At 42.5% G+C, this 25401-nt stretch overlaps 1 annotated feature.

The window, feature by feature from the left end:
* Positions 438 to 589: a silencer, noted in NCBI's record as "fragment chrX:19182810-19182961 (GRCh37/hg19 assembly coordinates)". NCBI's record gives its function as "represses an EF-1alpha promoter that drives an FKBP-Casp9 reporter gene in an ReSE screen in both phorbol 12-myristate 13-acetate-treated (for megakaryocytic differentiation) and untreated K562 erythroleukemia cells {active_cell/tissue: K562 | K562(+PMA)}" and the evidence as "EXISTENCE:reporter gene assay evidence [ECO:0000049][PMID:32094911]".

The following is a 25401-nucleotide window of genomic DNA, read 5'->3' on the forward strand; positions in this document are numbered from 1 at the left end:
ATCAACTCCCAAAGCAACTACTTGCATACTTGCACTGGAATCCTTGTCTCAGGGCTTGCTTCTGGGGGCAGCTCAATTAAGATAATTCCTAGTTCTGAAAGCCTAGTTCAGGCATTAGTCCGTTTTCACACTGCTGATAAAGACATACCCCAGACTGGGTAAATTATAAAGAAAAATAGGTTTAATGGACTCACGGTTCCATGTGGTTGGGGAGGCCTTACAATCATGGTGGAAGGTGGAAGGCACGTCTTACATGGCAGCAGGCAAGAGAGAGAATGAGAGCCAAGCGAAAGGGGTTTCTTCTTATAAAACCATCAGATCTTGTGAGACTTATTCACTACCACAAGAACAGCATGGGGGAAACTGCCCCCATGATTCAATTACCTCCCACCGGTCCCTCCCACAACATGTGGGAATTATGGGAGCTACAATTCAAGATGAGATTTGGGTGGAGTCGTAGCCAAACCTCATCACCCACCCTCTCCTTGATGATTTTACATGTTCTCCACCTGGCCTCCCAGCCTGCAGCGTCTTCTCCTTTCCTGTCTCACCACACATTGCTTCCAAAGCATCCTGCCTCCTAAAGCATTATTCAGATGTGTCATTCTGCCTGCTCAAAATCCTTTACTATTACCCCACATGCTAGGCAGAAACAAAAGTCCAAACCCCTCTCGTAAATCTAACCCATACCTAGCTTCTGGCTTGCAACAGCCTTGAATGTTTCACGTGCTTCTGCTGATCTCCCTATTCACAGTTGCTAAATATTTGCAGAATAAGAAGGTTTCAGGGAGGATGAAAAAAAGTCATCTGGGGAATATATTATACCTTCATCTTCTTCCTACTTAAGAGAACTTCAAAGTACTTCTTTGCTCTTCTGAATATACTATAAATAGATTAGAAGCAATTTTTTTCTTCCCCAGTTCTTTCATTCCAGAGATAGGGCTCTTATTAGTCTGATTAGAACAAAATTCTGCATGTGAGTGTCCTCCTGTAGTTTCCTAGACTGGAATTTAACTTTAATTCCAGAAGAGAATTAAGCTACTGATTTCCAACTGCTTTTTTATTTTGTTTAAAGCCCAGCCAATAAACACTGTAATGCTAAACATCTCACACAAGCAGACAGAGGGAAGGAGGTTGTCTCTAAGATCCATTTAAGAGCTAACATGCTACTAACAAGCTCCTGTGATTTGAAGGTGTGATTGCTAGGAATGAGTAGGTGGGTAGATTCAAAGACTCAGAGATGAATCTAAATGTGTTCATGCATCCCATGGTTTTAGTTTAGTCAGTCCAAAAAGCCACTTACTGTTTAAGTCCATAAAATGATCAATGAGTGTTACCCATCAGGCCGTGAACGAAAGTCGGCCACAGTCTTTTCTTCCCCCAGAAGCCCCTGCCTCCCCCGCTCTACCAATACTTTCCTGACCTTCGGACTGGATGACTCTAACATGCTTAATCTAGTCCTGGCTTCCTCTTGAGAAAAATAAATATTAAATGTGAAATGAAAACCACACATGTAATAATATTGGGATTAATGAGGTGCTGAATTGTATTCGTACTTTGCTATGGTTGGCAAGTAGGGTATGCAGCTGAATTCAAAACTGTGGAACCGTTCGTAAAACAAAAATGTTAGCCCAAAGTCTTGCGTTCACCATGTGGCTTTTATCTTACCCGATCAGCATGGCAGGGCCTTCCACATCTGGGAGGCAGGGCAGACAGTGGTGTGGCCTGGGGGTTCTGGGGAAGCCCCAATCTTTAGCCTCCGTGCTTGCTAGTCAAAAGAAAAGAACAGATTGTTCCTGCTTACCTAGCACTGGTGCAGTTTGCTGGGGAGCGTTGTCATCAGACCATTATTGGTCATTAAAATGTAAACTCTCATTAGATTCCAAGAGTAACTAGCTTCCAAGCAGAGCTGAAAGGAGATGTGAGTTAACCTTCATGTGTGCAATTTCTCACGTATTCATTCCAATACCTCTTTTGGGAAGGTGTCATTAGTCCCATTAGACATGAGAAAAAAACAAGTCTTAGAAAAGTAGGTGACCCACCACAGTTACATAGTTGGCAAGCCAGGGTTTAAACCGAAGCTTTCTGGCTGTAACTCCAGGAGTCAGTGCAGGTGCCACTCATTCACACCCTTAGAAACACAGGGATGCATTCTCAAATGTGCCTTTTCGACTGTCCTATGTGGCAGGTGAGCGTGACAGTTGGAACCATCTTTGTGAAAAGCAATTTGTACTATGGTATACACATTTTAAGTGTGTATACTTTTTGACTGCGTAATTCCACCTTGAGGGATCTTCCGGAAAGAAATGACCAGAGATGTGGATGATTACTGGAGATTTATGCAAACAGATGTTGATTACAGTGATATTTATAATAGCAAAATGCTCTGTGATTCCCTTACAAGGGGAAGGGCTAAGTCACTGTAGCAGAGGTTCCAGTTAGGCCAGAACAGAGACTCAAATATGTTGGGCGTCCCCAGCCTCTGGGTATAGGTTTGAATTAACTGATGCACATGGGCATCAAAGCAGAAAATGCATTGACTCGAGGCCACAGCTGGAGTTTGGATATAGACAGACATGTCAGATACAGTTGGTAGGGAGGAAGAGGAGGCCAACAGAAGCCGGCTTGCAAGGAGGGATGCGGGCAGGGGAGAATCTTGAAAAAAGAATCCCAGAAGAGAAGGGATTTTGGTGTGATCAGGTGGATTCGGCAACACAGTTTGAGATTCCAAGAGGAGCAGCGAATGCACTTGTGACACTGTAGGGGAGGAGTAGTGCGAAGGCTGCCTATGTGAACCAAGGGGGCCCAACACGGAATGTCTCACACGGCAAAAGGCTGCTGGGTAATTAAAGGGTATGAGGATGGAGATAATGAGTGGTCAGACCGAATCTTCCTAAATGTGTCACCAGAGGCTGGTGAAGCAGAGATCCCTTCCAAGGAGGGCACAGATGACTGAAACAGAATTCAGAGAAGCAGAAGCAGACTGAGCCCTGTGGCCCAGACTGATGGTTGCAAACACATAAAGTGTCTCTACTTTTCCCCAGACACTCAAGAAAGACTTCACAAGGGACTGGGATTTCTGAGTGAGTAAGTGGGGCTGAGAACACATGAGATGCAGGGATTGGAAAAGCTATTTCTCTGCACCCATGGTCTACAAGCCTAGGATTCGGAGTTGATGTGTTATGGCTCATTTTGCCCACCTATTGCGGGTACATTGAATTTCCTGGAACAAACTCTCCCCTCCCCCGCATTCTACCCCACAGCTCATTAAGCAGCAGTTTAGAATCTTCTCTTGGTCTGCTGTCCTGAGGATCACCTTGGCTGGTTTGTGGACTACCCTCTTGGCTTGAGTTTCACCCTGGACTGCCATCTTCCCACTTCCACTGGACACACTTAAAGAACTATCCAGTAATCATGAAAGAATAATGCTTTGAAAGGGTTTTAAGTGGAATGCATATAATCATAAGCAAGTAATGCAGGATAAAAAACTATATATATAGCATAATTTTCATTATAAGAATGCATTAAAATATTGGAAGGAAATATGCTAAAGCCTTAAAGTGGGTAGTGGAGTTACAGATGGCCTATATTTCATTTTTATTTAACTTCTTTTATTTTCCGTGAGCTGGAAGGTATTATTTTATACTTACAAAGGGGAGTATTAAAAATGTGTTCCTTTTCTCTCTCCAGAGTCTAACAAATGAAAAAGGCAGGCAGTGCACAAATCTATTAAATTTGGGTTGAAAAATAGATGGAGTTGGCCTGGAAGTTGCTAAGGCAGCCCATCTGGTTTAGCTGTATTGGATGAAAACCAGTTGATTCCTTAATTTAGCATTAGCTTGGGTCACTGGTGCTTTTATACAACCTCAGAGAGAGAATTGAGCAGTTCCATATCTGGAAAACTGAGATAGTACCATCCTGATATAGGTGGCCCAAGGGGAATAATTTTGTAAGACGTGGCAAGTTAATGTTTGCAAAGAAAATGCTGTCTGTTCTTCAAGTGTTCTCAAAAATAGCATGTTGAGACTAGACAGCGTCCCCATCCAATTGCAAAAGAACTTCCAGTTCTCATTTACGATAAGTGAACCTTGAGTTAAATATTGATTGGTAAGCCAAATGTGTGCATGAGGATTTTTATTAGATATTCATATCAGCAAGCACACACATTTATATTTTAAATTCAGAATTTATGATTTGAACCTAACCAACTTCTATTTTCACTAAGATAGCAGTAATTTATTTGTAGCATGCTTTATGCTCCCATTTTTTTCTGAAGCCTGAGAACCTTCAGCACTCCTGTATTAACTTTTGCATTGTTGCTTTGCACAACTAGTGTCCCACCAAAATTCATATGTTGAAGTCTCAACCCCGAGTACCTCAGAATGTAACCACCTCTTTAAAGAGGTGATTACGTTAAAATAAGGCCATTAGAGTGGGCCCTGATCCAATATGACTGGAAGAAGAAACACCAGGAGCACTGTCCATGCACAGAGAGACAGCCACATGAAGAGGCAATGAGAGAGTGGCTATCTTTGAGCCAAGGAGAGAGGTCTCAGAAGAACTCAACCCTGCAGGCACCTTGATCTTGGACTTCCAGCCTCCAGAACTGCGAGGAAACAAATTTCTGTTGTTTCAACCATCCAGCCTGTGGTGTTTTGTGACAGCAGCCCTAGCAAACTAATCCGGCCTCCAGCCCTGTTTGTTTCTGAAGCCCAGCACTCGCAAGTCACCCCTCTTCCCTCTGACTCTCAAACCCACATGGCTCCTGTACATCTCCTAATCTGGTGTTTGCAGATTGGAACCCAATAGTGGGTCTGGAAGACAATTTAGTGAATCTTGACCAGTATATGGAAAATGAAATAGACTAAAATACAACAGAGTGGCACAGAAGAGGATAGAATAAAATACAGACTATCAAAATGCTACATGTAATAAAGGTAAAGTATAGCTCTTGTGAAGTCTTTATTTCCATTATGTATGTTTATATGTGTATACTAGTCCATGCTGAATTTCATACTGTGGACCATGGTAAAAATAATGTGGAAGTCACTGACCTAATTGGACTCTGCATTTTTTCTATCTCCAACTTCCAAAGCACTTTCATTCTGGTTGATCATCAGCAAAATTCACGATGAACTTAACTTCCTCCAAATGTTCTGTTTAACTGGCTAAAACCAAATAGGTCTCATCAATGCAATACATCCGTAGCAAGGATAGACGCTATTAGACATGCTCTAAGCAGGAAACCTGCTTCATCTTGACCTTTGTTGGATTTATATAGAATAACTGTATATTCATTTTTGAAGGAAAGAACGAAGCTATTTATGAAAGGCTGGAAATATAAAAAATTAAATCTAACATTAAATTTCATAATTTCTCACTGAACTTCCTCTTTTCTAACATGCCATTAATTGTAAGATGGACCATTACTTAATAATGGAGTTCCAAGCAAGAAAGAAACCCTACAGAGTTGTGCTGTCCAATATGGTAGCCACTAGCCACAGGTAGCTACTTACGTTCAAATTAATTAACATTCAAAATTCACTTCCTTAGTCTCACTAGCTACATGGCAAGTGCTTGGAACTCCATGTTCTATTATAGAACATTTCTACTGTCACACAAAGTTCTGCTGGACAGCACTGCTGTGGTTTTGATGAAAAAGGAGTGAGCAGAAAGTTTTCAGGGTAGCCGCGGTTTGCAAAAGCAGTGGCGAGCAAATTGCTTTGGAGAAAATAAATTGTAACGGATTGTGCATGGGAGTAGTAGCTGGATGTTTACTTCCTCCAAGAGAAGGAAGTAAAAATTAGAATTGCATAAAGAAGGAGCCCTACAAAAATAGACGTGTCAATATAAAATAGCAATTATAATAATTTTTATTAAGAGCTTGCTATTGTCAAGCACTGTGCTAAGTGCTTTACAGATTATCTGTGATTACAACCCTATGAAGTAAGAACTATTTTTACTGATGAGAAAATTGACAGTCAAAGATTCAAGTTGTTCAAAAACGGACTGAGGAGGTGGCAGCAAGGATTTGAAGCCAGTTTCCAAGCCTCATTCTCCTTCTCTTATACCAGCAGTTCTCAACTGGAGATTGGGAAGGTGGAGGTGGGGGTCAAGAGGTGCTTTCATCATCATCAGGCCTGACTGGGAAACCAGGAACACTCCCTCTTCCCAGGAAACCTTTTCCCAAAGCCCTTCTTCATCCCACCTCCAGCCTGTCTCCCACAATGCCCTCTGTAGCCGTTCTCAGCCTACAACCGCAAGGCTGAGGCCAGAGTGGGCATCAGGTGAAGACTGTTGTAGACCCCTAGGGTTAGAAACTCTAAGTGGAATGTAAAGCCAGGGAATGTAAAAGGACAAACAACTCTCCAGGTGATTCTCATACACATGCTCCAGTTGAAAAAACCAGGCTGGGCACAGTGGAGCAGGCCTGTAATCCCAGCACCTTGGGAGGCCAAGATGGGAGGGTCATTTGAGCCCAGAAGTTTGAGACCAGCCTGGGCAACATGGCGACACCCCATCTCTACAAAATATACAAAAATCAGCCAGGCATGGTGGCACACACCTGTGGTCCCAGCTACTTTGGGAGGCTGAGGTGGGAGGATCACTTGAGCCCAGGAGTTCAAGGCTACAGTGAACTGTGACCATGCCACTGTACTCCAGCCTGGGCTACAGAGTGAGACCCTGTCTCAAAAAAAAAGAAGACAAAGAAAAAATTGTGCTACCTGGAAGGCAGTTAAATATTTAGTTGGATGAAAATAATTGTTGTAAATATGGTTACTGAATCAAATGCAAAATTCAAAACCAAATCTTGGAAAAAAACACATAATGAATACAATATAATAATTATCTGGGTTTTACAGCCCCAGATCACAATATTAAAGACAGGACTTCATAGAGGATTAAAAACAAAACAAAATAAACAAAAAACCCACTCAATTGTTAAATGGCTGCTATAAAAAATTCTGCTTTTTTCATTTAGCCAACTAGAGAAATATAGGTTTAGGGCTACATTTAGTAAACTTCAAGGTAACCACAACTTAATAAAAAGTACAATAAATATACAAATAAATTTTAAAAATTAACAAAAAAAGTAACCACTACCAGGATTAAGAACCACCTTCCAAATTACCAATGAAGAAAACAAAAACACAGTGAAAATGACATAGGCAAGAAAATAGCAAACCTGGCCTGGCACAGTGGCTCACACCTGTAATCCCAGCACTTATGGAGGCTGAGGTGGGTGGATCACCTGAGGTCAGGAGTTCAAGACCAAGCTGGTCAACATGGTGAAACCCTGTCTCTACTAAAAATACAAAAATTACCTGGGCGTAGTGGTGGGCACCTGTAATCCCAGCTACTTGGGAGGCCGAGGCAGGAGAATCGCTTGAACCCGGGAGGTGGAGGTTGTAGTGAGCCAAGATCGCACCATTGCACTCCAGCCTGGGCAACAAGAGTGAAACTCTGTCTCAAAAAAAAAAAAAAAAAAAAAAAAAAGAAAGAAAGAAAATAGCAAACCTAAAAGAGAGTACAAAGAAGATGCCAGAAATCAGGACATATGCATCAGTTTTTAGGCTAATAGTCAATGTTTGACACTGTGTAATAAAAAGCAGAGATGGGGCCTGGTGCAGTGGCTAATGCCTATAATCCCAACACTTTGGGAGTCTGAGGCAGGAGGATCACTTGAGGCCAGGAGTTCAAGATCAGCCTGGGCAACATGGCAAAACCGCGTCTCTACTAAAAATACAAAAATTAGCTGGGTGTGGTGGCATGCACCTGTAGTCCCAGCTACTCAGGAGGCTGAGGCAGGAGAATCACTTGAACCTGAGAGGTGGAGGTTGCAGTGAGCCAGGATCGCACCACCGCACTTCCAGCCTGGGCGACAGAGAGAGACTCTGTCCCAAAAAAAGCAGAGGTGCTCACACTGGGCTAAAAAGAAACAAAACATGATTGTGTGCTGCTTATAAATGACAACCTAAAACAAAATTACACCAAAAGGTTAAAATTAGAAGGACGAATAAAGACACACCAATCAAAGGTAGGCAAAATAAAGCAGCTATAGTAGTATTGCTAAAGAAAGGATTCCAGACAAAAATACTTTTCAAAATGAATATTTATCAAACACTGAGATCAAGGAGGACTTGACAAGCTTAAAACAACAAAGAACTTCTCAAAGCTCTCTTCACAAGGACACATTTTTCTAGATTTAATGATATAAAAATTTTAAGCATTTGAATAGCTAAAAGCAACACAATCAGATGGAAAAAGTAAACGAACTGATACAAATGTTTCCAACAACTGTAACACAGGATTATTAGCTTTAATATATAGTTTGTACAAATCCCCATGAAAAATATTAATGCAAAGATAGACAATTCAGAAAGAAGAAAACTGAATCAATGTAAATCAAATAAGTTAGACTAGCAATGAGATAACTTGCTTCTTTCAAATTGACCATTTTGTAAAATCCCATTAAGAGCACTGGTGGAAATATAAATTGGTATATTATTATTTGGAGATGATTCTGGCAGTAGCTTTCCAAAGCTTTTAAACAGTGTTCACTCCTTTTGAAACAATAACTCCACTCTGGGAATCAAGCCTATGGACAGAATCAGAACTGTCAGACCAAGATTTATGAGCAAAAATGTTCAGGAAACTATTCTTCATGATAGAATTTTGAGAGAAGTCAGAATGTTAAATGATGGCAGGAGTTTTCAGAAAAGTATGATATATCCGTAAGACTATTATGAATCATCCAAATAATATTTAAGAAGTTGTTGTTCCTGTAGTCCCAGCCAGTCGGGAGGCTGAGACATGAGAATCCCTTGAACCCATGAGGCGGAGGCTGCAGTGAGCAGAGATCGAGCCATTGCATTCCAACCTGGGCAACAGAGTAAGATCCTGTCTCAAAAAAAAAAAAGAAGAAGAAGAAGTTGTTAAAATAAAGAAATGATGCATGGTGTATGTTAAGTAACTTTAAAAAAGAAACCAAAAAATGGAATGCCAAATTCTATACACTGGATATTGAATTGCATACACAGTATCATCTCAACTAAATTAATAGTGTCTGCCTTTGAGTAATGAGATTTTACAGTCTTTTTTCTGCTTCTGACTACTTTCTATACTTTCTCAATGTTCTGCATTGAGCACAGGTTATTTTTATAATCAGAAAAAAATTGAGGAGAAAAAAATGACTCTCAGCCATCGTCAGATCTTTAGTTCTAGCCCACTTTTTATTAATCAGGATTCTTGGCTGCAGAAACTGCTTCTGGCAATCTTGAGCAAAAGTTAATTTGTTGCAGGGATTTGGGAGACAAAAAAGAAGGCTTGGGGGAGCCTGATTAGCCCTGGACTGTTGCATAAATGACCTCTAACCAGTCTTCATTTTTTTTTTTTTGAAACGGTGTCTCGCTCTCTCGCCCAGGCTGGAGTGCAGTGGCACGGTCTCGGCTCAGTGCAAGCTCTGCCTCCGGGGTTCACGCCATTCTCCTGCCTCAGCCTCCCGAGTAGCTGGGACTACCGGTGCCCACCACCACACCCAGCTAATTTTTTTTTTTTTGTATTTTTAGTAGAGACGGGGTTTCACCGTGTTAGCCAGGATGGTCTCAATCTCCTGACCTCGTGATCCGCCTGCCTCGGCCTCCCAAAGTGCTGGGATTACAGGCGTGAGCCACCGCGACCTGCCCAGTCTTCATATTATATCACTCAGGCTTCCAAAACCGGGGAGAAAGCATCCCATGGTCCCCTAGCATAGGTCACCTGCTGGCATCAAGATGAGGAAGCTGGCTCATTAAAATCCACCAGAGGAGACAGACACCACCACCCTCCAAGACAAGACAGAGTGGGAGAAAGGTGAGCCCCCTCAAACTATTAGGGTGCTATTAGGAAGTGGGGAATGAGATCCTGTTGAAGTGAAATATGATGTCGCCACTGTTTATCTCTTCTGTGGGTCATTTTGCGTCTGAAGTGTCTTCTCCATCGTTTATTTCTTATCCATTTAAAAAATCTCCCTGAAAAGCAACATCCTTCCCTCTGCACCATTTCAACTTTCTCCCTCAGATTCACCAATCAAACCGACTGTCAGATTCAGGGGATGTTTCTCAGGCTTGATCTTTCTAAATATTCTAGTTTGGGATTCCTTAAAAGCAGAACCTGAGACAAGAATTTGACTGTAAGTCATTTATTTGGGAGGTGACCCCAGGAAACACTGGTAAAGGAGTGAAGAAATGAGAAGGAAGGGAAACGAAGTCAACACAGTGTGTTGTTAACAAGTTATCACGATGGGCAAGCGAGGCTTAATCCCGCGGGGAACCCTGGGAAATGGTGCAGAACACGTATCTCAGAGTTAGGTCACCCAAGGGGCAAGGGGGCTGGAGTAGTTCTACACCAGCTTCTGTCAAGAGTTGGTTGAGGGCTGCTTGGCGGAGGGGGGCATTCCCTGGCATTTCCAGCCTGTCATGCCCATGGACAGAGCAGGCTCTGGAAGCCAGAGAAAGAGAGTTGAAGCAATGCAACTTCTAGCAGTTGGAAGTCTGGCAGCACACACTGGTAAGGGCCGAGGGAATGTGGGTGGGGCACTGGCAGTATTTGCTTTACTAGACATTTCTGTGTGTGGTTTCACATCACTGATGACTCTTTCTGACTCGCTTCCTTTCCGTGGATACTAGAACACCCCACCCCACTTGTTTTCTGCCCTCTTCTCTTGCCACTTCTTCCCAGTCTTCTTCACAGATTCCTTGGTTGTTTCCCCCACATCCCTGCCAACTTAGATGTTGGTAATTAGCTATTGTCTTCTCATCCCACATACTTTCCTTGGCAACCTCAATCACATCTTTTGTCACCAAAGCCCATCTATAGCCCAGCTGGTCCACACTGAGATTTCTAGCCCTGCTCTCTTTCATGGAGTCTAGACCCAACAGCCTAATGAATGCCTCCACTTGGGTCTCCCGTGAGGCCCAACAGGTCTAAAACTTACCTCTCCAGATCTCTCTCCACCACTGAGGGCCCTCTCTCAAAATGGCAGCACTAGCCACCCAGGTTCCTAAGCCACAGACCCGGAGTCATCCTTCCTTCCCTCTCCCCTCTCCTTGCCCGTGATGTCTAATTGGCCACAATCCCTTTAAGGCAGACTACTGTTATGCACCATCTTTAATAAAGTCAAGGTGTAGAAGGTGCTCCTCGCTTTGTCCCCAACATTCTTTTTGCTCTTTTTGGGCTCAGCCCACTTCCTGAAACTTTGTTGACTTCATTCCTGCCCCCCTGGCTTGCAAAGACCTCAGTCTCCCTGGCTCACCTCAGAGTGTTTGCTACAGCCTCAGAGTTGCATTTATTCTCAGGATCCTTCCACTTTTGCTAGGATTCCAAATCATTTAGGGTCCAGTTCACTTGTAAGTTACACAAATCCAAAATAACTGGGCCTTAAATAAGATAGAAGTATATTCATTTCTTATGTTTAAAAAAAAAATGTCCAAAGGAAGTCAGTCCAGGGCTGGTGTGGTCCCCTGGAGGGACTCAGTTTCTGCTTCTAATGGGGAACCCAAACTTGGACAATAGAGTAAAAATACACTTGGGGCATTTGATTCAAAATAAGAATTCCCCTGAGCACAGTTCTCTGACAACTTGGGTAAATGTCAGGTGTCCATAAATCTGTGGAGGGCAGAAGCCCTTGGAAAGTTTTCTTTTTTCCTTTTTTTTTTTTGAGACAAAGTCTGTCTCTGTCACCCAGGCTGGACTGCAGTGGCGCAGTCTCGGCTCACTGCAACCTCCGCCTCCTGGGTTGAATTGATTCTCTTGCCTCAGCCTCCTGAGTAGCTGGGATTACAAGTGTGTGCCACCATGCCCGGCTATTTTTTTTTTAATTTATTTTTAGTAGACATGGGGTTTCACCATGTTGGTCAGGCTGGTCTCGAACCCTTGGCCTCACATAAACCCTAGGAAGGTTTTCAAGAAATTACTTGTCCTCCAGGTGGAACTATGACATGACGCTGCTGTGCAGCAGTCTAGAAGAAGCTAGAAGAAGCCTAGAAGAAGGTGGGAATCAGACAATGTGAGGCTGGAGGACTTTTTCCTCCTGGGGTTCCCTAGGACACTCCTGCCCACAGTACCTCCCACCACCATCTGTCTCCCAACTTCTCAGCATCTTTCTTCTCCTCCTCCCTTCAGGCCTACTCACGGTGGAGCCCAGCGACCAGCTCACAGGCTTCCCCACCATCTTACCCCACCCTGGCTCCTCAAGGTCCCAAACTCACCTACCACTGGAGGGAGGTGTCCCTGGGCAGCCAGAGCCCTAAGAATAATCTGGAAACACCTGAGGTGTTACGAGTTGAAACTAGCTTGTTGAGTTAACCCCTCCCAGGGGATATTTGCATCTTAACTGGGAACAATCATGAACCAGTGTTTTTTGACCACATGGCTCTTGAAGAAAGTGACAATTATCTGAACCCTAGGACACATAGATGAGGCCACTCGTGGCTCTAGGCTACTAGTGCAGGATTCTGGCCATTCAGAGCCCCACCCTCTGCCTTAGGTCCCACTGGTAGCTCCAAGGGCTGAGGGGGGGTCATTATCTCAGCCACACTTTTAACACGCCCACCCCCCCCCGCCCCACCCCCAGCACACTGGCAGGAAAACCACCTTCCATTGTTGAGGGAGGGATGTGTGAATAAGCTGCCCAGAGGGCCGAGGCAAGATTGAGAATTAGTGCCTTGAAACTGAAAAAATGTGCTTTTAAAACTTTTACTTGGGAAAATTTCCAGAACGGCACAAAAGTAGAGAAGGCAAGTAACCCCTTCATACCCACCATTCAGATTCAACAACAACTCATACATTGCTGTTCTTGTTTTTTTCAGGTATCCATCCCCCAACACAAATCTCAAAATGTCAGTTGTCATGTCATTTCACTGCAATAGGCATCTGAGGGAGGAAGGGAGAGAGGGAGAGAGGGAGGGAGGGAGGGAGGGAAGAAGGAAGGAAGGAAGGAAGGAAGGAAGGAAGGAAGGAAGGAAGGAAGGAAGGAAGGAAGGAAGGAAAAAGAGTTTTCTTTGTAACCACAATGCTATCTTCACAATTAACAAAACTAACAATTTACAAATGTCATCCATCACTCAGTCCATATTTAAATTTCTAGACAATTGGGAACACAGAGGAACACTTTTTAAACGGTGTGATACTCTTCATGCAATCAGAGCAGATGTGTGTAGGAATAAATGAGGACTGGAGGGCTTGTACTCAAATCCTCTCAGAACATCCAGTTGACCCAAACTAGAATGGAGTCTTGCTAAGCTGAAAAAGCAAATTATCTCCTTATACTTAATCAGTGCAATAAAAAGGAAAAATGTGCATTTCAGTTTCGCCCTGTGCTTGTAATCTCAGGATTTCAAAGGTACTGGAGGGTCATGTTCACCCCCTTCAAAGGGCACATATTGGTCTCCCTGTGAAACAATGTGAATAAAAGAGTCCCTGTACATTCGAAGGGGGAACATTACAGTGCCCACTTGTCGTTACTTACATCAAAGGCTCAGAAAAAAAAAATGATGAGGATTTGTACATTTGTCCATGAGCCAGGAATTGTCCATTAACTTTCTAAATGATTCGGTCACAGTCTACTGAATTTGGAAGAACTGCCAAGGATGAAATAGCTTTTCCTGCTCAACTGGAACTAAAGGAAAGTGGCTTGAGACAGAGAGTGATAAATGAGAGAAAGATCAAAATCACCGCAACGCCTACAGCTTGCTTAGAAGAGACTTGGCTTTCATCTTATCTGGTAGAGCTCCTCCTTGCTTGAAAATGAGTGCATTCTAGTTACAGCTAACATTTTTGAGCTTTCACTCCAGCCCGGGCACTATTCTCAAGACCCTATATGCCTTAGCTCATTTAATCCACACAACCCTTTGAAGTAGGTATGATTATCATGCTCGCTTTTACAAATTAGGAAACTGAAATGCAGAGACATTAAGGTATAATTTGTCCAAGATTACAGAGCCAGTAATTGGAAGAGGCAGGGCTTGAACCCAGGGCATCTAGCTCTGGCCTGCACTCATAACCACTGTGTTATAGCATGTTGGGAGGAAACACTCTGATTTGTATATACATAGTCTCGTCTGATATTGCCTCCATTGTTTACCTTTATCTCGACGCTTTTGCCACTGTCTTCATTAATCTCTCCTTACCCACCTGTCTTTCTAAATGAAGCTGTGAGCTCCTTGAAAGCAAGGACTGCTATGTCCCCACAGTGCTTAGCAATAGCAGACGTTCATTAGCTGCACATCCAATGTAACAGGTCCAGGACTCAGGTGACACAAGTGAGGCACTGACCTCTGGTGCAAAATTGAAGGGGGCTCAAAAACACTTAGTCATCAATATCAATCATGTTTTAATGCATTTTTTTTGAGACAGGGTTTCACTCTTGTTGCCCAGGCTGGAGTAAAATGGTGCAATCTTGGTTCACTGCAACCTCCGCCACCCGGGTTCAAGTGATTCTCCTGCCTCAGCCTCCTGAGTAGCTGGGATTACAGGTGCGCGCCACCACGCCCAGGTAATTTTTGTATTTTTAGTAGAGACGGGGTTTCACCATGTTGGCCAGGTTGGTCTCAAACTCCTGACCTCAAAAGATCCACCCACCTCGGCCTCCCAAAGTGCTGGAATTACAAGCGTGAGCCACCATGCTCGGCCCAAACTTGGTATCTTAAAAATGGAATTTATGCTTTAGCTAAGAACGTCAAATGGCACAACTAAATGAAATCGGTGGGTAAAAAAATGGGAGTCAAAGGCTTTAGAGGTTGCTAACTAACACATTATCAGCTGCTTATATATAATATTGAAAACTGTGACTTTACTGCTACCATTTTAAAAGAATTCATAACTTATTCAAAAAACATTTAGTCAGTATGGACCATGGAGTCTTTCCCTTTTTAATTTTTTAATAGAACTGCCAATGGACCATAAAATGTCCCCAAAACCCTGGTAATCAAGTAATTTATTAGCCACCAGATAAACCAACATTAAATGAAATGGCCGTGTATTTTATTTTAAAAAATCAAAACAAAGCCTAGTCACTACTCTCAATGAATAATGAAAAAGACAAAGTAATCAAGTAATTTATTAGCCACCAGATAAACCAACATTAAATGAAATGGCCGTGTATTTTATTTTAAAAAATCAAAACAAAGCCTAGTCACTACTCTCAATGAATAATGAAAAAGACAAATAAACCAACACATTCAGTTAACAAACGTTAAAGTTATAAGAGACATCAGTTCTAGGAAACTCTTTACGCTGGCCTGAATCATTTGAGGTTGGTCCTGTTATTTCAAGCAGATTGGTACTGAGGTGACAGCCATTTACCAACACTCTTGAAAGGCCCTGCTAAGAGGACATCCTGCTAACAATGACTCATTCATTAAACTAACATTCACTGAGCACCTACCATGTACCCATGTTATGAATGGTCAGTGGCCTGAATGTGTCGCCCCAAATTTCAGATGTTGAAATCCTAACCTCCAAGATGATGGTATTAAAAAGTGGGGCCCTCGAGGAGGGATAAGGTCATGAGGGCAGAGGATTCATGAACTGGGATTCTGCCCTTATAAAAGGGACCCCAGAGAGAACCCTGCCCCTTATGCCATGTGAGGACACGGTAGGAAGGCACCGTCTGTGAAGCAGGGAGCAGGCCTTTGCCAGACACTGAATCTGCCAGCGCCTTGATCTTAGACTTCCCAGCCTTCAGCACTGTGAGAATTTCTGTTGTGTATAAGCCACCCAGTTAATGATATTTTGTGATAGTGGCCTGAACTGACTAAGACAGCCAGGTTGTGTGTTAGATGCTGGACACAGAGATGCAGAGGTTAGGTGCACAGAGATGCAAATAGTTAGGGCTCTACTTTTAAGTGGGGTGGGTGTGGGAGAAGGTCAGCAGGAAACAGTTATAAAACATTTAGAGATCTACCAGGAGGGATCCAGGGAAGGCTTCTCAGAGGGGCTAGGAGCATGCCAGGTTGAAGTTGTAGTGTTTGAAAGGACCCAATAGAAAGCCCTTCCCCACTTGAGACCTGAATCACTCATGGACAAAGACAAAGAAGTTGGCAGTTGGAGAACAAAATATCATCTTTATGACTGATAGGACTGGTATTAGAGAAGGTGGCTTCCACCTGCCAATGCTTACCCCCCAAATTAGACTGACCACCCACCCAGCATCCTTGAACCAGGGCAGACCTTGCCCACTGCAGGGGCAGAGCCTACCTCTGGAGCAGTGGAAAATGGTGACTCCTTGGGGGCAGCTTGTACCCAAAAAGGACAGGGTGCACAATACATGCCCACATGTTGTCTGTATGGTATGAATAGTGTGATATAAATGTGCATGTGTGTATAAGTAAACTTTAATCTAACTCCTAGAGGTAGTTAGCTAGAACTTGAAATACCTACTCAGAAATCCATATTCCAGAGATGTTGAAGTGCTGCAAATATTGTTATCTAAATCTATAACCAGAGAATTTGTTAATACGTATAATATGTATGTTATAAATACTTTTTATTGGTAAATGACTGGCGTTTGATCTATATCTATGTATATGTGTGTGTGCATATATATATAAGATATATCAGTCTAGAAAGATTTTGCAGGCCCAACTGCCTTTGCACAAACGAAGTATAAGGATCTGGCAAGCTGAGTCATCTAATATCTTTGGAGCAGTAGCCTGGTTTGAAATTCTCATGGGTCCTATGCCCGCCATGTCATGGAGGACTCAGCTGGAGACTTAACTATAGGATCGGCCAGTCCCATCATCAGAATTTTGTTGCACCCATCTTGGAGTGAACCCTTCCTGTAAGGTGCCTGTTGGAATGCACAAGGACAGAGAGTGGGACGCCCACGAGTTTATGAGACCATGTTTTTGTGCCTACTTGCTGACAAACAGACATTTGGTAGGATTTGTTCTAAGACTGGCTTTTGTTAGAACAGACCACCTAGTAGCTAGGTTGTCGGGTGGGGATGTATACTGCATCCTACTTTTCTCTGCTAGAGCTTACCCAAATGAAACACCACAGACTGACCACTGAAGAATGGCCGAATTGGACTGGGTCAACTCGCTGCAGCCTTTCCAAGCTCACTAATCAGTTGAGTCACTTCTCTCTAACCCCAGAGCCGGAGAGGGCAGGTGTGTTACACTTATCGCTGTCCGTTCACGGGAAAGGGGAAATCAGTAGCAGGGAATAAGAGATTCTCACAAACAGTGGATAAGCCAGTGTTCCAGGCAATAGGAACTGCATGTATGAAACCACAGAGGCCTGATGAGCACGTTCAGGGAATCATAAATCATTCAAGGCTCCTGGAGTATGAAGGGCAACAGGGGGAATGGTGGGTGATGAAAGCAGACATCAAGGCAGGGATCTGCCGCAAATCCATACAAATAATTTAAGAACCATGGAGCAGTTCTAAGTAGGAGGCAAACAGGATGGGATCTGCATATTAAGGACATCACTTTGCTGGCAGGGTGCAGCAGAGAGGGGCAGCAGCAAGACTAGAGGCAGGGATACCAAGAAAGTAAGCAAATGCCAAAAAGAGATGGGGAAATGGCCTGAACTGAAAGAGCAGAAGGGAGATGGTGAAGGAGGGAAGAACATGGATGCTATTTATTTATTTATTTATTTATTTATTTTTGAGCTAGGGTTTCACTCTGTCACCCAAGCTGGAGTGCAGTGGCTCAGTCTCCGCTCACTGCAATCTCTGCCTCCAGGGCTCAAGCGATCCTTGTGCCTCAGCCTCCCGAGTAGCTGGGACTACAGGCACGTGCCACTGCACCCAGCTAATTTTTGTGTTTTTTGTAGAGACGGGGTTTTGCCATGTTGTCCAGGCTGGTCTCGAACTCCTGATCTCAAGTGATCCACCTGCCTTGGCCTCCCAAAGTGCTGGGATTACAGGTGTGAACCACCAGACCCGGCCCATGAATTTAGAAAGGAGAATTGGAAAGATCTAATGATTGAGTACATATACAGGGTAAGGGAGAAAGGCATGTAGGGTCATCTTCATTTTTAAAGTCCATAAGTAGGCACAAGTCATAGAGAAGCATTCAATCTACACATATTTATTGAGCCACTAATGTCTAAATAATAGCAAATTTATAGCAGTAGCTAGAAATTGTAATGTATAAAAATGGTCAAACAAATGGAAATAGTAGATTGTATTTCCAAAGATGACTGCCACAAACACAAATTTCCAAGTGTGAAATCCTTCTCTCTGTTGTCTAGAGAGTGCCTAGAAGCCATGAATCCCTTAATATGTGTTCCTCATGTTCAACAGACGATTAACCTCTGCTTAGGTAGTGCCTGGCATGCAGTAGTCTCTCAATAAATACCTGCCGAATAAATGAGACGATAAATCTAGAAGAAGCATAGTGCCCTTGTATGTCAATTGTCTGTTGCTGTGTAGCAGATTACCCCAAAACTTAGCATCTTAAAGAATATCGATTATCTCACAGTTTCTGTGGGTGAAGAATCAGGGGACAGCTTGGCTGGGTGGTTCTGGCTCAAGGTCTCCCCCAAGGCTACCATCAAGGCATCAGCTGGGACTCCAGCCATCTCAGACAGACTTGACGAGGCTAGAGGCTCCCCTTCCAAGCATACTCATGTGGCTGTTGGCTGGAGGCCTCAGTTTCTTGTCTTGTGGGCCTCTCCAAAGGGCTGCTCACCCATGGCAGCTGGCTTGTCCCTGAGAAGATGATGATGATGATGATGATGATGATGATGATGATGATGAATGTGTGTGCGTAAACAAGAGAGAAAGAGAGAGCCATGCCACCCTGCCTTTTATAATCAATTTTCAAGTCACATGCCATCACTCGTGTCTTATTCTATTCATTAGAAACGAGTCACTACCAAAGGCCAGCCATCACTCTCGGGATAAAGGATCACACAATATCAGGAGGTGGGGATCATTGGGGACCAACCTGGAGGCCACCTACTGCACCTTGTGAATTGTTAATAGACGACATAAGTAGCAGCCCCCAAATGCTCTGACAAATGTGTTCTTTGCTGGTAAAGTGATTATAAATTATTTGTCAACCTTTCTCTCATAGTTTTGCAAACATGGTAACGCTATCACCTCTTTGCTCTTCAAATGCAAAAGGCACTCACTCCAGCAGGTAAATGGACGGTAATAACAACTACCTTTGCACTGCAAATAGTCCAGGTAGGTTTGGATGAATTGCTTGGAGGCTGTTTTCGTTTGTGTGTTTTGAAGCACAAGATTGTTCCTTGACTAAAAGGAAAAGTTTGGTCTGTTTTCCTCAACCCCATCTTCACCAACCCAGCAAAACAAGATACCAGGTCAAACATAAAAAAAGACCAATGGACTCTGATAGTCCATTTCATTTAAACCTTTGTTCTAAGATGACCTGTGATAAGACAAGCAAAATGTCTCTATAATCAGGAGTTTTCCCATGAAAGCGGTCAGTGTTTTCCAAAGATCAAAACGTGAATTTGCTTCAGGGAAGGAAAAAAATCATTTTATTGGTTAAAATGCTCACACTTTCTGTCTCATGAAAAATTTAAAGGAAAACTAAATGCTTTGTTTGTTAATGAACTTACTAAAGGGTGATTTGGGCTGTTAGCCAGAAGCAAAAACTGGTCTCCTAGGAGTATTTTCTAGTTGGTATGCCTTTATGGTCATTGGACGAGTTAGAGATTGCTGCCTATTTTTAGCCCATTATTTCTGCCGACTCAGGCAGCGCCTGCACGGCTCTTCATTCCATGGGGTGCGTCTCTTCATGCCTGTTCCAGATAAAAACCTCAGGGTAAGCAATTAAACCTTCCCTGGGAGCAAACAAAGAAAAGTGGAGAAAACAATTTTTCCCTTTTACAGGGCATTTGAATAAAGGAATCCCAATAGAGAAATGAAATTTGTCCACTTGGTATCAAATAAACTAAGAAAATTTCCCTAAATTAAGCTGTGGGTGTGAACATTTTCACACCGCCTTTCTCCCCAAACGGTTTTGCATGGTGCTGCCCAAGCTGACCCAGATGTTCGGCATCAGTCTTCCATGATGACGTCTTCGCCTTGGCTGGCGGGAGCTCAGTGTTTGCTCTAGCTGATTTTTCCTGAACTCTGTACCCCCAAGACCAAGTGCATCTTAGACCTTTACAGTTTTGTATCACCTTGGCAAACTCTGTGTGACTGGTAACCTTAGCCATAAAAAAGGCTTTTAAAACATTTGTTCCATAAAGTTTTTCCTTTGAAGTGTGCCTCTAGTTGGCATTTTGAATATCACGTAACAAACTCAGACTCGGCTTTTGTGCTCATGTTGGCCACGTGGCCATAGGGCCTATTAAGTTTTGACTCTGAGGCTGATTAATGGCTAGAAGCAAGTTTATCACCACCGATAGATCTTTGAGGAAAGGTAGCATTTCTCCTTTCATTAACCAGCTACCTTTTCTAGCAAATGTTTAAGTAACAATTTACGTTGGCGTCGACTAGTGCTTCTCCAACAGTAATGTGCAATGAATCCCAGACATCTTGTTAAAATGCAGATTCTGATTTAGTTAGGCCTGAGGTGGACACTGAAATGCTACCTTTCTGATGAGTTCCCAGATTATGCTGATGTTGCTAGTCCCAGACCAATTTTGAGTTTCAAGGCCCTAGAGCTCACCCAATAGTGATTAGAAGGCAAAAATTGATTTGCTTTCACAGAAATTTAGTCCTTGCTCTTAGATGAGAAACAACAGCTTCTCACCTAAAGAGATTCTCTCTCTGTCTCAGGGCAAACTTTTGAATATCCCTCTGGCTAATCAGCTCGAATAAAGAAAATAGAGTTTGAGCCACTGTTAATCTAATAGTTTAGCGTTTAGATCGATAAACACGTTCCTTGCTTCTAATAATTTATAGTAAGTAATGGAAATTGGGTGGACATTTTTAGTGGTTTGTCTTTTCTCTACAAAATGTCAGCACTTTAGCTGTGGCTTATTTACTTCGTTTGAAGTGACCTCAAATGCTGCTCAGGAAACACTCTACAAGCTACTTTAAGATAATTAATCACATTGAACTAGTGATTGGCTTTTAAAAGCCTTTCTAATGCCAGTACATTCTCAAGGACTTTTGGTGTCATTTCATCAACCTCCTCCCCTCTCCTTTCTCTCTCAACTGGCTCATGGCCTGCAGACCACAGAAAGCTTCCCAAACTCATTGATTAATACTAGTAATTGCAAGTAGCAAGATGGAGGAGCCCATTTCTTTAAGGATGCTTCATCTAGCTTCAAGAAGCAAACTGGCTAAAAGAGACTGCCAGTGGGGCACCAGCTGACAGAGAATTAGCAGCAGACTACAGAAAACCAACTCTGTTGGTTACTGGACAGCTGTCAGCAAACCTAGAAGACTGGCCACATTTAGTTCAACACACACGACTGAATTTAGCAGAACATGTTTGCTTTGGGGTCTTTTTTGTCACTTGGAGAATATGGGGTCTACCTGTGATTCGCACTGGACCTCTCTCTTGGATTGGATTGATTTGCCAAGGTCTTGTCAGAGTAGATACCCAGGACAGAAATAATGCAATTTCACAATTTCTATCTAAGTTGTTCCAATGTCTTGGGGGCCCTAGAACCTGTTTGTTTTCTAATAAGGTAGGGAGATTTACCTTAATTTTACAGAAAAAAAGAAGAAGCTACTTTTTGCTGCATTACCCTAGATAGAGAAGCCTCAGGAACCACACGGTCTGGGTTCAAATCCTAGCACTGTTTCATTACTAGCTATATGGCCTTCACATAAGGTGACTTAAGTCACATAACCTCAGTTTCTATATCTGAAAAATGGGGATAATAAAAGTACCTCCTCTATAGAGAGTTTGAAGGAATACCCCCCTGGCACAGAGGAAGTGCCCAATAAAAGCTACCTATTATTTGAATACCATTCAACACAATTAACTGCAAAATATCCAACATGGAGTATTGCAGCATAACCTACTATCAGTTTCTGTCTGTGTAATTCCAAAACAACAGATCAATTGTCTGCACCAAGTCAAGCCAATGGTTTGGTGATGTGATAAGGTAGCTGTACCTGCCCATCATCAGAGCATAGCAGATGTAATTGTTTCTACCCACCCTCCCAACCCATGAGGGCTTGAGTGAGAACATAAGTGATGAAAAATGCTTTGAGAAGTTGAATGTCCCACACCAAGAAACCCCACATACACAGTAATAATTACTATAAACTACACTAACATACTACAACCCTGAATTTTAGTTATAGTTTTGATTTTCTAAAAACCCCATGTGGCATAGGTCAACCCATATCCAAGTGTGTATTAGACCTACTGCCCTGAGGCCGGGCGCGGTGGCTCACACCTGTAATCCCAGCACTTTGGGAGGCTGAGGCAAGTGGATTGCCTGAATTCAGGAGTTAGAGACCAGCCTAGGCAACACAGTGAAACCCTGTCTCTACCTCTACTAAAATACAAAAAAATTAGCCGAGTGTGGCAGTGTGCACCTGTAGTCCCAGCTACTTGGGAGGCTGAGGCAGGAGAATTGCTTGAACCCGGGAGGTGGAGGTTGCAGTGACTGGAGATCACGCCACTGTACTCCAGCCTGGGTGACAGAGTGAGACTCCAGGAAAAAAAAAAAAAGAAGAAGAAGAAGAAAAGAAAAAAGAAAAAGATCTACTGCCCTGAATTAGGTGCTGTGGGAACTTTAAAGATGATGTAAGACAAAATTTCTGCTTTCGAAGGTTTGGCAATCTATGTTGGAGAGACCAAGTGACTGCAATTCACTAAGAGGACGGGGAGCAGTACAGATTCAGAGAGTCATGGGAGATTTTCTAAATGCCATCATAGGAATAAAATATCAATTGGTTTATCTCTATTTGAAACTCGGCTTTATATCTTAATGAATTCCAATTCACTCCTACAATGGCCAAAAATTGTGTGTGTGTATGTGTGTGCAAATTTGTTGCCCTAGTCTAGTTTAAAGCCACTATTTTTCCATTTTTCATTCATTCAGCAAATATTGATTGAGAGTATGTGTGCCAGGAATTGTGCTCTATTTATTCTAGTTACAATTGTATACACAAGCCTGGAGTCCTTCAGGCAGTCGTCTTTGCTAAAATGAACAAATAAGGGTAAAAACTTTCCACTCTTCAATTAGGCAAAATATCTATGTAGGCCAATTTTAAGGCGTAGGATTCGTTTTAGAAGCAGTCATTGAGACACTAGTGGAGAAATCCAAAATTTAAATATTCATAGATGTGTACCAAAACCAGAAATGGTTCTCAGTACCTTTACAGTAAAAGCAGAGAGCCTGTCGCCTGCCTGAATGTTCCAATGTCGTTCCATTGATACTTACGGTATTATTATAATATTAATGGTAACCTGATTGGTTACAATCAGACCCTCCCTTCAGGAATCCTGTAATAATATCCCAAGTTGCAGGATGCTGAGGGTAAAAAATCATTGTGCAACTACACAGATGGAGCCATTTTATGTCCAGCTACAGCACACAATCTTTGACACTACAATCTTGTCATGGGTAGTGACTATCTGGGGCCGGTGGCCTAGGTGATAAAGGAATTTACCAAGACAGTAGTAGGTAAAGAAAGGCAGATTTCTTAAAGAAGGTAAGAAAATATGTTGCAAGGCTGTAATGGGCAGCACAGCAGAGAAGGGGCTATCTGCAAAGAGGCAGGGGCTGGAGGGAAGTTTTATAGGGTCTTGCTGGAGGGGGCTACATGTGGAACAAGGTTGTACCCACAGGTTGTTTGTGATTAGCCATGTCTCAGGAAAATTATTCATTGTTCTTTCTCACCTGAGGCCCTCCTCCACCTGGGGCCCCTTCCTCATTGTTGCTTACTTATCAAGACTCCACAAATCTGTTTATGAATCAAGAAATGTTATAGCTTAAATCCCAGGGCTCTCCTGCCCCCAACAACTCTCTGAAAAATGCTGGAGAATATGTTGAGGCAAACAGGTTAGAAAAGCTCAAAATAGAAACAAATGCTTGATGAGCGTATCACAACTGTTGACACTTCAGCCCTGTGATAAGGTAGCTGTACCTGCCCATCATCAGAGGATGGCAGATGTAATTGTTTCTACCCATCCTCCCAACCCATGAGGGCTTGAGTGAAATGTAAGTGATGAGAAATCCTTTGAAAACTTGAATGTCCCACACCAAAAAATCCCACGTATACAGGGAAGATCAGTATCAGGGAAGGGAAGTCAGGGAAGATCTTGCTGTTTTTATAGGGAAATCTTTTCCCTTGAAATCACTTTGGAGAAAACATATTTTTTTTTTTTTTTGCCATTCGAAAAAAAATCTTTACTTATAAAATAGAATGAAAAAACTGAGCCCAAACACACAAAAGCCTTAAATTCATGCTTCTTATAATTTCCTACTGTAGTTCTGCTAGTTCTTAAATTTCATGATGCTCAAATTCTCCTTTTTGCATATCTTTTGTAGGTTTTCTCCCTCTCTGAGCAACGGTTGCCAGAGTCTTTTAGAATGACTTGTATTTGCTAATTGGATTAAAGGCCCGATAACGGCATAGATTTTTTTTTTTTTTGCAACATCCTGGTTAACATTCCTAATCTGGGCAACAGATGTTTCCACACCTTTTTGCATCTTGTGTTCAGTGATTAAGGTAAGGAACTCTTAGAATCTTCTAAATGATTCAAATTCATTTTCCACACAGTTGAAAGTGGCAAGTCATTAAGATAAAGGCTTTGAACCTCAAATGTTATAAACAGGAGGTGAAAGAAGGTGGAAAAGGGAGGGGAGTCTGTCCTCTTGTTCTTATTGTTTTCCCTATTTCTCTCAATTCTCAGAACCATCCTTCCATTTAATTTATTTATTGAAGCAGTTAATGCCTTTTATTATTCCATGCATATGGATAAAAAATATTAAAATGCACTTACTAAGTGGAAAAGGAAAGATATTTCCAACTTAGATGGTTACACCACTTTCATTACTGCGAGTTCATGCACCTAAAATACCTTAAAAAGGCAGGAAAAATTTTTTCCTGTCAGAAAAAGAATGTACTAAATTAAATACATGAATAAAACCCTCCCCGATTCCTCACAATAATTGTGTCTCAACTTGCTTTTCTTTCATTCAATGTTTATATATGTTTTGTAGGCCATTGGTGTTTGAGAAAATGGGAGGAAAATTGTTTGTTTGTTTATTTATTTATTTATTTATTTAGAGATGGAGTCTTGTTCTGTCACCCAGGCTAGAGTGCAGTGGCACGATCTCGGCTCACTGCAACCTCCACCTCCTGGGTTCAAGCAATTCTCCTGCCTCAGCTTCCCAAGTAGTTGGGACTATAACCTCCTGGGTTCAAGCGATTCTCCTGCCTCAGCCTCCCGAGTAACTGGGATTACAGGCATGTGCCACCACGCCTAGCTAATTTTTTGTATTTTTAGTAGAGACAGG

Source organism: Homo sapiens, chromosome X (genome assembly GCF_000001405.40).
Source record: "Homo sapiens chromosome X, GRCh38.p14 Primary Assembly".
Classification (NCBI taxonomy): domain Eukaryota; kingdom Metazoa; phylum Chordata; class Mammalia; order Primates; family Hominidae; genus Homo; species Homo sapiens.